A 13,091-nucleotide genomic window follows, 5' to 3' on the forward strand; every position below is an offset into this window, starting at 1 on the left:
ATAGCCGCCAGAGTGATTTTGTTTAGAATGTAACTAAGATTGTGTTAATTTTTTAAAGAACCTTACAGTAGCTTTTTAACTCAGAGTAAAAGCCCAAACTCTTACAAACCCACAAGGCTTTATATAAATGGAATCTCTGCTTCTCCCTGCTGCCTCTTTGAACTCATTCCCTACCATTTTCCCTAACTCTCTCAAGTCCAGCCACACTAGTCTCCTTGAAAATGATCAGTGCCCGCCCCTGTTTCACGGGTTTCGTTTGTTTCCTGTGCCTGGCATTCTCTTCCTACAGATATTCTCATGGTTCTCTCCCTTCTTTCAGATCTTTACTCAAGTGTCACATTCTTAGGCCTTCCCTGGGCACCCTTTATACTTCGTAATTGCCTTCCTTCATTGTTTTATTTTTCTCCTTAGCACATATCACTATACACATATACGTATATATTCTGCTGTATCATGTATGTATGTGTGTGTATGTATGTATATATATATATATATATATATATATATATATATATATATATATATACATACACATACACACACATTCTGTTTAGTTATCTATCATCTGTTTATTCCACTGGAATGTCATCTCAACAAGGGAAGGATTTTGTTGATTTTGTTTCTTTTTGTATCCCCAGTGCTTAGCACTGGCTATCACATTGTAGAAGGTCAGTAAATCATATTTGTTGAATGAAGAAATGAATTAAAAAGACTTTGTTATAAAGTTGTCTTATAAGTTAGTAAAGAGGTCAGTGATTGAGTTATAGAAAATCTACAGTGTGTTTTTACCTACTTCTTCTATTTTCCTTAAATTGCTGTGGATTTATCTTAAAACTTGGGATAGTCCTTTTATTCAGTGCACAACTCAAAATATGTTTTGTTCAAAAAATTAGTTTTCATATTTATTAAAGTAGTACATACACTAACTTTAAAAATGGAAATTGCGATAAAAGGCTTATGCTGAAAATCAGGAGTCCCTTGCCATTTTACTTCCCACTCCAAAGAATACCTCCTCAGGTATATTCACTTTTAACTCTTTTAGCTATTTATTTAGAATTTTAACTCTGCATTTCTAAGAACAATAAGTCTTCCCTTAACATCATTGATAGGTTCTTGGAAACTGTAACTTTAAGTGAAATGATATAAAATGAAACTGGTTTTACCATAGGATAATTGATATAAACAAGAGTTAAGTTCCTAAGACATAGTTCTTGTCACAGAAGCATCACCAAACTTACAATAAAGACTTAAATACTTCTACTATTAAACATTGAAATAAATGTGAGCTGTACTTGTATTTAAGAAAGATTGAGATATTTCACAGAGATGACCGAACATTTAAAAAAAATAAATAGCTACAAAGAGAACTAAGGAAATGAAAAAGGAGTGGGAATACTAACTCCAAGAAAAACAAAGCTTAGAAAAAAAGGAATGTAAGATAATTGTTTATGTAAGATAATTGTTTATCTTACAATTGTTGGTGGATCAGTGAGCAACAGCAGTCGTGGTGGTGGGTTAAATCAAGGAATAGTTTGCAAAGCGAAAATTGTAAGAAGCACCTCCTACCACCACACAGTTCCAGAACAATCACAAATCTGGCAGGCTTACTGAGTGCCTTGTTACCGTGTGTTTATTGTCAAGCATTTGTGTGATTGTTGTATACCTTACACATTTTTATTTGGCAATAATTTGTATTCATTCATTCATTCATTCATTCGTTCATTCTCCAGCTGGCCTATTCAGTTCAGGTTGTAGGTGGCCAGAGGCTATTCTGGAGGCTCAGGACGCAAGGTGGGAAGCTACCCGGAGTAAGGTATACTCATACACACACCATTATTCTCCCAGACCGGATCAGTGCAGACACACCAGCTCACCTCATGTGCACATGTTTGGGATGTGAAAGGAAACTGGAGAACTTGGAGTAACCTCCTTACACAGGCATGAGGAGAATATGCAAACTTCACACAGATAGTGGCTCTGGCTGGGAATTGATTTTTTTTCTTCATGAACATTATAATCACACAATGTTGAACAAAATGACATTATTTGGGAACCTGCTGTAATGTGCTTATTCTGCAGTTTCTTGATTAGTCCACTGTAGACATTCTTTGTTATTTTTTAGTTATAGTACTTGAGGATTTAACTCTCTTCCCATACCCTTTCACCTGGTTTCTCTTCTCCTAGCCATACTCCCACTACAGTTATAACATAGATTTTGGTTAGTCACTATTCAGTGTTCACATTATGCCTCCATAATATTGTTTACTAATCACATAATGTGCTATGATTACATTTCTTTTTTCCTATCCTTTGTATTTCTTAGAGTTAGTACTCCTTTCCCCTTTTTTCATTTCCTTAGTTCTGTTTTTACCTATTTTTTTTTTTTCTAAATGTTCAGTTATATCTGTCAACTACCTAGCGGTAAGTTTTTCGTAATTATAAACATAGGAAAAATCTCTTTTTTTCTGGAGATTTGCTCATTTCTGTTTTCTATTCACTCTCACCTTAACTGTTCTCCAGGCCTGGTGCAGAGTGGTCAGTTTGGAACTTCCTGATGCCACTTTCCTGTATTTGATCTCCTATATTCTGAATCTTTTAGTTTATTCCTTTCTCTTGCTGGAGCATATTTTCTAGTGCCTTCCTATGAAAAAGATGCATAGATGGTAAATTTTTTGAATTCCTGCATGTCGACCAGCTTTATCTTTTAATTTATTGATAATTTAATTAGATACAGAATTCTAAAATGAAAATAATTTTCCCCTGAACTTTAGAAGCATTGTTCCACTCCCTTCTAGCATTTAGTGTTGTTGAGAAGTTTGATGTCATTCTGCATTATTTTACGCCAAATGAAATTTTTTTTTTCTCTGAGAGCTTTCAGGTTGGAATCCCAACTCCATCACCTAATTGCTGTGTACCTTTAGGTGCATTGCTGCACTTCTTTGTGCATCAGTTTTCTCATGGAATGAAAATACTAATAGCCACCGTTCTCTGTAACATCATTATGAGGATTAAAGATTTAATAGACTAGTGCTTGGTTTATAGGAGCACTAACGTGTTAGCTATAATTATTACTGTTATTTTTACTTTTGAGACAGGATCTTGCTATGTTGCCCAGGCTGGAGTGCAGTGGTGCAATCATAGCTCACTGCAGCCCCGACCTCGTGGTCTCAAGCAATCCTCCCACCTCAGCCTCCTGACTAGCTGGGACCACAGGTGTGTACCACCACAACAGCTAATTTTTACATTTTTTGTAGAGACAGGGTTTCACTATGTTGCCCTGGCTGGTCGTGAACTCCTGGGCTCATGCAATCCTCCTGCCTCAGCTTCTCAAAGTGCTGGGATTACAGGCATGAGCCACTGTACCCGGCCAGTTACAATTATTTATCCCTAATATTTTGAAGCTTCATTATGTGTCTTGGTTTGCATTCTTTGTCATTGATTGTCCTGCTTTCTTCCATTATGGGAAATGTCTTTGAAATTAAAAATAATCGTTTCCTCTGTTTTCTTTGTTCTTACCTTCTGGAACTCTTATTATACAGTTTGGACCTTCTGAATTGCTCCCTAGTTTTTCTCTTTTTTCCTTTTGTTTCTCATGGTCTTCATATTTTTGTACTGGAAGATTTCCTCTGCTTTACCTTCTACCTATTCTGTTGTTCTTAAATTTCAATTAGGATGCTTACATTTTTAGTTGTTATTGATATTTTTTCTATTCCTTTTTCATAGAATTCCTTTCTTTTTTTGGATGTATTTTCTCTTTTCCCCTAGAAAATTAATTATAGTAATTTTTATAGTAATTTTGTAATTACTATAAAATAGTAATTTTGAAGTTTTCTTCTGTTTCTTTTGTTGTTTATGCTTCCTTCTGGACTCTTTCATGGTTTTGTTTTTTCTTTTCTCTTTTTCTTTCTTTTTTTTTTTTTCAGACAGAGTCTTGCTCTGTCACCCAGGCTGGAGTGCAGTGGCGCGATCTTGGTTCACTGCAAGCTCCGCCTCCCGGTTCATGCCATTCACCTGCCTCAGCCTCCCGAGTAGCTGGGACTACAGGCACTTGCCACCATGCCCGGCTAATTTTTTGTATTTTTAGTAGAGACGGGGTTTCACCGTGTTAGCCAGGATGGTCTCGATCTCCTGACCTTGTGATCCTCCCACCTCGGCCTCCCAAAGTGCTGGGATTACAGGCATGAGCCACCACGTCCAGCTGTTTTTTCTTTTAATCATCTGGTTTTTCTTTATATGCTTTCCCCCAAATGACTAGTGACCTTCTCTCTGTTTATATTTAATAGTAAGGCACTAAAAAGCTGAGTAGAAGCTCTGTGTGTTTGAGCTTGGCTTTTTAGCTGTTAACTTTCATACTAGGATGATCATGTAATGAGCTTGCCTTTTTGTTGGGTGACCCTTACATGTTAGTAAGTGGTGGTCTTTTCTCTGGAGTTGTTTCGTTTTCTCAAAGAAAAGTTTTGCCGTCTCTTAAGAGCCTGTGGAATGAATATATGTTGTCTGCTCTAGCTCCAGGAGCAGGAAGTGAAGGATACTGAGGACCCTACGGTTTCCTATTTTTAGACTGACACTTAATTATTCAGCTTCTGAAGTCATCACTGTGTCTGGTGTACTGGAGTTCATATCATTATCTATTCAGTTTTTCCAAAGAATAAATCTTTATTTTTGTGTATGGGGGATGGCTGGAGAGGGGGGTGAAGAAGGGTATTGGTTGCAAGGAGGGACCTGGGAATTGAGTTCATACAAGTTTTTATCAGTTTCCTTGTTTTTAGTTTTGGGTCTCACCTCTGCTTTCCATGACGTCTTTGGCCGTTCTGTACTGTTGCTCTCCAAGTTCTGCAAGATGAATTTGCTTACTTTTCATGGGTATCCCAACACATCTCCTTCCTAACTCACAAACTTAGGTTGTATTTCCCCTGCTCTGCTGTGCTGTAAATGGCCTGATGTAGATTATTTTTTATTTTATCTCATACCCCCTTTTATTCTTATTTTTTTCATTTGTTCTCAATTTAATGATTATTAAATAATCATTTGGTAATTCAAGGATAAACATTACCTGTTCATTGTTAAACTTATTACCTAGTAGCGCTGGTGTTTGAGGACAGGAAATCACAAATGAAAATGTACTAGGGAATGAATTATTTGATTATGGAATGCATATCAGCACAGGGGAAAAATTTACATGTGGCCAGTTGTCTTCTAGCTGCAAAACACAATTTATGTTATAGCCATTGAATCCCTGAGATCTTAGAAGTTATTCAGTCCAAAGCTAACATTTGTTGAGTCTTCACCTATGGTATATTATCTCATTTAACCAACCAAACCTTCTGAGATACGTACTTTTGTCTCCATTTTACAGATAAGGAATCTTACATTTAGAAAGGTTTAGCAGTGTTGACAAAGGCCACAACTAATAAACGGTGGTACTGCGATTCACCTGAGACAGTAACTCAAGACTGTGTGCTCATAAGCACTATGCTGTATAGTCTCCTATTTATACATCAGTCCATGTTCCAGACAGTTGAGTATCTAATCTTTATTTCAGGTTATAGTGAGCTAATGACTTTTCCTGGAAGTATTTTCAGTTTTCAGATAGACCCTTATTGTTAAAAAATTTCTTCTTTTGGTGAATCGAAATCAGCCTGTATGTAGTCTTATAGAGTAAGAGAATAGGTTTGCTCTGTAGTCTTATAGAATAAGATAATAGGGTTGTTTCCCCTTCTAGGACAGTTACTCCCATTTTCTCCAGTGGTACACAGTTTCCCATGCCCATCACTATTTTGGTTAAGGTCTTTTTGAAATCACTTTAGTGTTTCAGGCTTATGTTCACCTAGAGGTCCTCCTTCTAGTTCTGTGTTTTCCACATGAAATCTGAGTGACTTTTTAAATTTCATAGATCTTTTTTACTTCCAGGATCTAATGATAGAAACTCTGCGTACTTTTGAAATCTTCAGCAGCTTATAGTTTATTTGGGGAGACATGAAATGGAGGTTAAAGATAAATGACTGTACAATTAAATGCCAGAAGACTAATATTATGATAGTTCAATAATAATGATAAAGCCAACACATTAGATGCCAGGCAATCCTCTAAGTACTTTACATATATTAGCTGATTTAATCTGCACAACAACTCTGTGAGATAGATACTATCATTACTGGCATTTTACAGCTAAGGAAAATGAGACAGGTATAGTAATTTGCCCAGGGTTACACAGTTAATAAGTATCAGCCAAGTTTTGAACTGATACTGTCCAACTCCACAGTGCATGTTTGTGATCCTTACATTATACTAGACAAATGTATAGGACTTTGGAGAAGGGAATAATCACTGTAGAGTGAGATAGTTGTCAGTGGAACTTGGACTGGAACTTTACTGATGGAGTTTGGTACAATCAGACAAGAAGTATGAAGGATGACTAGATGATAGAAACATCCTGAGCAGAACCACCAAGGTCAAATGTTGGGGGAAATCTATGGTAGGATGTTTATGAGGTAGTCTGTTTAAGGGAACAGTAAAACCCAAATCATGTGTTAATTTGGCTTACAGGGACCTGAGTGATCTGGCCCTTGTGTACCATCCTTACTGTTTTCCTCTACCTGCAAGCCACGCTGGCTTGCTTTCTGTTCTTTGAACATGCAAAGTTTGCTGGCATCCTAGGACCTTTACACTCTGATTTCCCTGCCTAGAGTGCTCTTCGCCCAGAACTTTTATGTCTGGCTCCTTATTGTCATTCACAGGGGCCCCCAGCCCCTGGACCATGGACTCGTACCAGTCTGTGGCCTGTTAGGAACCAGGCTGCAAGCAGAAGGTGAGCGGCGGGTTAGCGAGCGAAGCTTCCTCTGTGTTTACAGCCATTCCCCATCACTACTCGCATTACCACCTGAGCTCTGCCTCCTGTCAGATCAGCGGTGGCATTAGAGTCTCATAAGAGTGTGAACCCTATTGTGAACTGCATATGCAAGGGATCTAGGTTGCATGCTCCTTATGAGAATCTAAGGCTTGATGATCTGTCACTGTCTCCCATCATCCCCAGATGGGACAGTCTAGTTGCAGGAAAACAAGCTCAGGGCTCCCATTGATTCTACATTATAGTGAGTTGTGTAATTATTTCATTATATATATTATATATTGCAATGTAATAATATAAATAAAGTACACAATAAATGTAATGCACTTCAATCATCCTGAATCCATCCCCACCCCCCCAGTCCGTGGAGAAATTGTCTTCCATGAAATCAGTCCCTTGTTCCTGAAAGGTTGGGGACTGCTGGTTATTCAGGTTGCAGCTTGGTCTTTTCTGACAACACATCTTAAAGAAACCTTCCAGTCCTTCCTTAGCACATGAGCCGGTTTTATTTTTATTGTGGTTCTCATCTCTGAATGGTGTACAAACACCATTGGTTATCTGTTCAATACTCATCCCTCTTTCTTTTTTGCTAAAGAATCCTGATTTTGTTTGCAGTGACAGTACCCACCAAATACTCGCTTTTCTAGCCTCCTATTTCTTTAGAAATAGTTTGGTGTAAGTGAAATATAAGTGGGTGTGTGCTGGAAGTTTCTGGGAAGGCTTTTGCTCTCCTGCTGTAATGGGATGTAGATGCAGTGCTGTCCTCTTACATCTACCTGCCCCTTCCTTGAATTTAAACTAAACACTTGGGGTTTCAACAGTCCTATTTGATTCAGAGAGAAAGGCCAAGAGAATTGTAGAAGCTGTTCATCTGACATCAATTAATCAAAGTAGCAATGTCAGGCTGGTGAAAACAGTTCGTATTATTTGACATTGTTGTTATTGTTTTCTATTATTTCTTTCTTTGTCACTTGCAACAAAATCATTCCTAATTAATGTAAATGTTGTTGCCATTGATAGTAGGAGGAAGAAATGGAAATTTTATGATCAATTTAAGTTGATGTTGCAGTCATGCCTCCACTGACTACTGTTGGAGGTGGTAGTGGTTACACCAGAACAAAACTACCTATGCTTAGATCCTGACTGTGTCAGTTACTAGTTGTGTGACCTTATACGAGTCACCTAACCCCTCAATATTTCAGTTCTCCCATCTGCAAAAACATGGATGATAAGCCTAGCAGAGAAATTGTTGAGACAGATAGTAGGTAATATTAAGGAAGAGAATATAGAAGGAGTGAATGTAGACAGAAGATAAAGGAACAGTTGATTTTTATCTGCATTTTGGGATGTGGAAATAAGTAGAATCAATGAAGGAGGAGATAGAGAAGAAATCGTTCAGAAAATAGAAGGAAAAACAGGAAAGCAAAATATCTCAGAAATCAGGGAAATGGTATTTTAAGAAAGAAATACTCAGCAGTGTTGATTGCAGTAGAAATAATAGGAACTAATAACAGGCCTTTTTATTTGAGGGCTAGAAGAAAGTATTTTTTTAAGAGAGTGTTTTAAGTACAGTGAGGGGTAAAAGTTGGATACAAGGATTTAAGATTGTGTAGTGAGGAAATAGGATAGTTAACATCACTTGCACACTTAGTTCGACTATATGAGCTCTTGTAACAAAAAACAGGAATATATTTTTCCATGTATACTCTTTTTTATATACAGTCATACATTGCTTAATGATGGGGATACATTCTGATAAATGTGTTGTTAGGTGATTTCATTGTTGTGCGAACATAATTGAATGTACTTGCATAAACCTGGATTTGTGTAGCCTACTGCACACCTAGGCTGTGTGGATGGGTTGAGTATCCCTAATCTGAAAATCTGAAATCCAAAATGCTTCAGAATTCAAAACATTTTGAGTGCTGATATGATACTAAAAGGAAATGCTGTTTGGGACATTTAGGATTTCAGATTTTGGATTTTTGGATTTTCAGCTTTGGGATGCTGAACCAGTAAGTATATATAATGCAAATATTTCAAAATCTGAAAAAAATCCAAAATGGAAACACTTCCGTCCTAAGCATTTCAGGTAAGGAATATTCAAACTGTATAGCCTGTTGCTCCTGGACTACAAATCTGTACAGCATGTTACTGTACTGAATACTAGAGGCAATTATAACACAATGGTAAGTATTTGTGTATCTAAATGTATCTAAACATAGAAAAGATATTATAAAAAGATGGTATAAAAAATAAAAAATGGTGTACCTGTGTAGGGAATTTACCATGAATGGCACCTGCAGGACTGGAGGTTGCTCTGGGTGAATTAGTGAGTCTGTGGTGAGTGAATGTGAAGGCCTAGGACACTACTGTACACTACAATAGACTTTATAAACACTGTACACTTAGGCTACACTAAATTTATGAGAAAACATATTTCTTCAATAATAAATTAACCATATCTTTCTGTAACTTTTTTTTTTCTTTTGAGATGGAGTCTCGCTCTGTCGCCAGGCTGGAGTGCAGTGGTGCAATCTTGACTGACTGCAACCTCCGCCTCCCAGGTTCAAGCAATTCTCTGCCTCAGCCTCCTGAGTAGCTGGGATTACAGGCGCCCACCACCACACCTGGCTAATTTTTGTATTTTTAGTAGAGATGGGGTTTCACCATCTTACTGTAACTTTTTAACTTTATAAAGTTTTAAATTATTTTTAGCTTTTTGACTGTTTTATAAGCACTTAGTTTAAAACACAAACACATTGTACAGCTCTACAAAGATATTTTCTTTCTATTCTTATTCTATAAGATTTTTTCTATTTTTAAAATTTATTCTTTTCCTTTTAAACTTTTTTGTTAAAAATGAAAACACAAACATACACATTAGTTTAGGCCTACCCAGGGTCAGGATCATCAATACCACTATCTTCTACCCCTACATCTTGTCCCACTAGAAGGTCTCCAGGGATGGTAACACACATGCAGCTGTCATCTCCTATGATAACAGTGCCTTCTTCTGCAGTGCCTCCTAAAGCACCTGCCTGAGGCTGTTCTACAGGTAATTTCTTTTTAAAAAAGTAAAATGAGTACACTCTAAAATAATAAAAAATTGTATAGTAAATACTTAAACCACTAAGTCATTTATTATCAAATATTATGTACTGTACATAATTTTATCTGCCATACAATCAGTTTGTTTACACCAGCATCACTACAAACTTGTGAATAATGCATTGTGGAATGACATTATGACAGCTGTGACAACACTAGGTGATAGGAATTTTTCAGCTGCATTATTATCTTATAGGACCACTGTTGTATGTGGTCCTTGTTGACTGAAATGTTATTCTGTGGCACATGACTGTACTATTTACATAACTATATATTTTACATTTATACATATTACTGAACAGTGTTACATCCACAAGATTATGCATATCACCCTTTAAACAATTTAAAGACTTGTTAAAGGTGATTTTTGACAGTGCTTGATTTTGCAGTATGGGCTGACTTTAGAGCTTAACCCCTACATAGGGTATAGCTCTAGTGTGGTGAATATATGCTACATAGATATACACTGCCCTGTACTGGGGAATAATTTTACATATATGGTGGCAGGGACTAGTGGAAAAAGTTTTGGCTTGAGGAGAAGTGATCATCTCCTGGTTCTATTTCTGTCCTACCAACTACTAGCTTTATTATGGTATACATTGCTTAACTTCTGTCCTCCAGCTTTTTCCTTTGTAAATTCTGAAACCTGTCAACTCAGTACTTAGGAAAGGTGTGATAAAATATTTGATCTCCTGAAATGTATGCTTTGCCTTTTAGCTAATAAAGTAGCTTCAGTGTAGCTTTAGCTGTGTTATTACAGTAGTACAGAGTTTAGAATTGCCTGTTCTAAAGTTGTTGAGCAAACCACTGAATTCCCTTTTAAAAAACAACTATGAGATGGTGAATTCAGTTACCTTAAATTTTTTTTAAATAATAGTTTTCTCCTACTATGTAATAGAAGAATTACATGTTAGAAAGTTCGAAAAATAGGCTGGCCGTGGTGACTCATGCCTGTAATCCCAACACTTTGGGAGGCAGAGGCGGGCAGATCACTTGAGTTCAGGAGTTTGAGACCAGCCTGGGCAACATAGTGAGACCCCATTTGCATAAAAAATACAAAATTAGCCAGGTATGGTGGCACATACCTGTAGTCCCAGCTACTCGGGAGCCTGAAGTAGAAGGATCATTTGAGTCCAGGAGGTCGAGGCTGCAGTGAGCCGTGAGCCGTGATCATGCCACTGCACTCCAGCCTGGACGACAGAGTGAGAGTATGTTTCAGAAGAAAGAAGCTTGGAAAATAGAACACACACACACACACACACACACACACACACACACACACACACACACACAGAGAGACACAAACACATGAGAAAAATCACTGTTTCATTCAGAGGTAACTTAATGTTTTGTTATCTTTCAGTCTTTTCAAAATATATATTTGAAATTATTTTAACATAATTGAAACTAAATTTTATAGCTTTATATCTTTTTTAAGGATTATGTAATAAACATTTTCCAAGTTATCAAATAATTTAGATTAACTTTTATTTTGTATAGTATCTCCATGTCACATAGATAGCCTAAATTGTATTTTTTCATTTGGATATTATACCATCCATTATGGAAGGACTTTTAAGGTTTTGACAATGTAGCCATTCTTGTAATATAAAAAAGAACACTAACCTTTTCACATTTTAAACTTTTCAGAATCAAATTATGATTAAAGCTGCTATTATAAACATCCATGTGCAGGATTTTATGTGGACATAAATTTTCAACTCATTTGGGTAAACCTTTAATATATTGTTAATTTGATACTCTTTAAATACTTAAATAAACTCAGCAAAGTTTGGAAAATAATTCTCCAAGCCTGAATCAATAAATATTGTGCATAAGGAGACCTTATACTGCAAAAAGATTTGCAAAAAGTAGATGCATTTTTAAATTAAAGGGTAGCAGTTTCCTTTCTGACTTTTTTTTTCACCTGGGACACAGATTTGAATCTTAACTTTGATGAGCAACTTAGTCCTATATTAATAAACCCGAATAACTCCTTTCTTAATCTTGAAAGAAAGGATGAAGAGATGATAATGTTAACTCTGCTGTGTTGATCTGAAAATGATATGTGGATACTTGCCCGTTAGATACTGGACTTTTACAAGTGACATTAAATGAATATAAAAATGACAACAGTTTTTGGACTATATTCCAGCTATTGGCTGGAGGTGAAAGATGATTAATCAGATGCCAATACTCTCTGCCTCTTATTTTTCATTTTACACATTTTTGGTCTTCTCTCTTCTCTTTTTTGTAGTATATAAATAAAATAAATTTCAGCAATGTATAAATAAGCACAATATGAACTATAGGATCTGATTTTCATCATGTCTAGTTTTGTTAATATTGATTGTTTTTTAATGGTTCATTTCCATTCAATTAAAAATATATTTTATATAGTTGTCTCATTGAAATATTTTTAATTTTATATCATATGCTAGGCCTACCTATCTGGCCATGTTTCAAGAGAATCTATAAATGTAATATGTAAGAAATTGATGATCCTTCAGTTGAATGTTGACATTTGAGATAATGCAGTTTTGCCTCTGAAATTATCTTTTAAAAACAAATTGCATTTAACTGACAATAATTATGTTGTATATAAATACTGTATTCTTTTTAGCATTCTCTGTAAATTGCATAGTAACTTTTCGGAATTCCTGTGGCCCTGCTTACCTATTGAAAATTTCTTTTTGTCAAAACATCCTTTACTCAAAATGTTTAATTCATTTTTTAATGAAAATCATTAAAAGTTTTGAATAGAACTTGTTTAACAGAAATATTTAAAATTGTTTATATTATACTTGTGAATCTCAAATTGATGGGCTATAAAGGTTGTGAATATCCTCACAAAATTCTAGGTATTGCTTTTTTTTGTATGTAATGTAACTTTAGAAGATAATATGTAAAATGTGGATTATTACTATGTGTGAGAAGGTCATTTTTCATGTTGACTAGATTATTGTAGAAATAGTTTATTTAAAATATTTTTTAAAAGGGAATCTTTGAAAAGACCAAAGTTATTTTTTAAAAATAACTTCATATTATTGCTTTTGATCTTCTTAACAGTTCTCTGAGGTAGAAAAATTGGATTTCTTTTGCTCTGTTTTTGTACACTTGATCTTAGCCAAAA

At 35.8% G+C, this 13,091-nt stretch overlaps 1 protein-coding gene across 2 annotated transcripts in view; it reads left to right on the forward strand.

Moving 5' to 3' along the window:
- Positions 1-13,091, forward strand: part of ATG4C (autophagy related 4C cysteine peptidase) — an 81,385-nt gene that overhangs the window by 66,245 nt on the left and 2,049 nt on the right. The gene's annotated exons all lie outside the window — the stretch shown is intronic.

Source organism: Homo sapiens, chromosome 1, assembly GCF_000001405.40.
Source record: "Homo sapiens chromosome 1, GRCh38.p14 Primary Assembly".
Taxonomy (NCBI): Eukaryota; Metazoa; Chordata; class Mammalia; order Primates; family Hominidae; genus Homo; species Homo sapiens.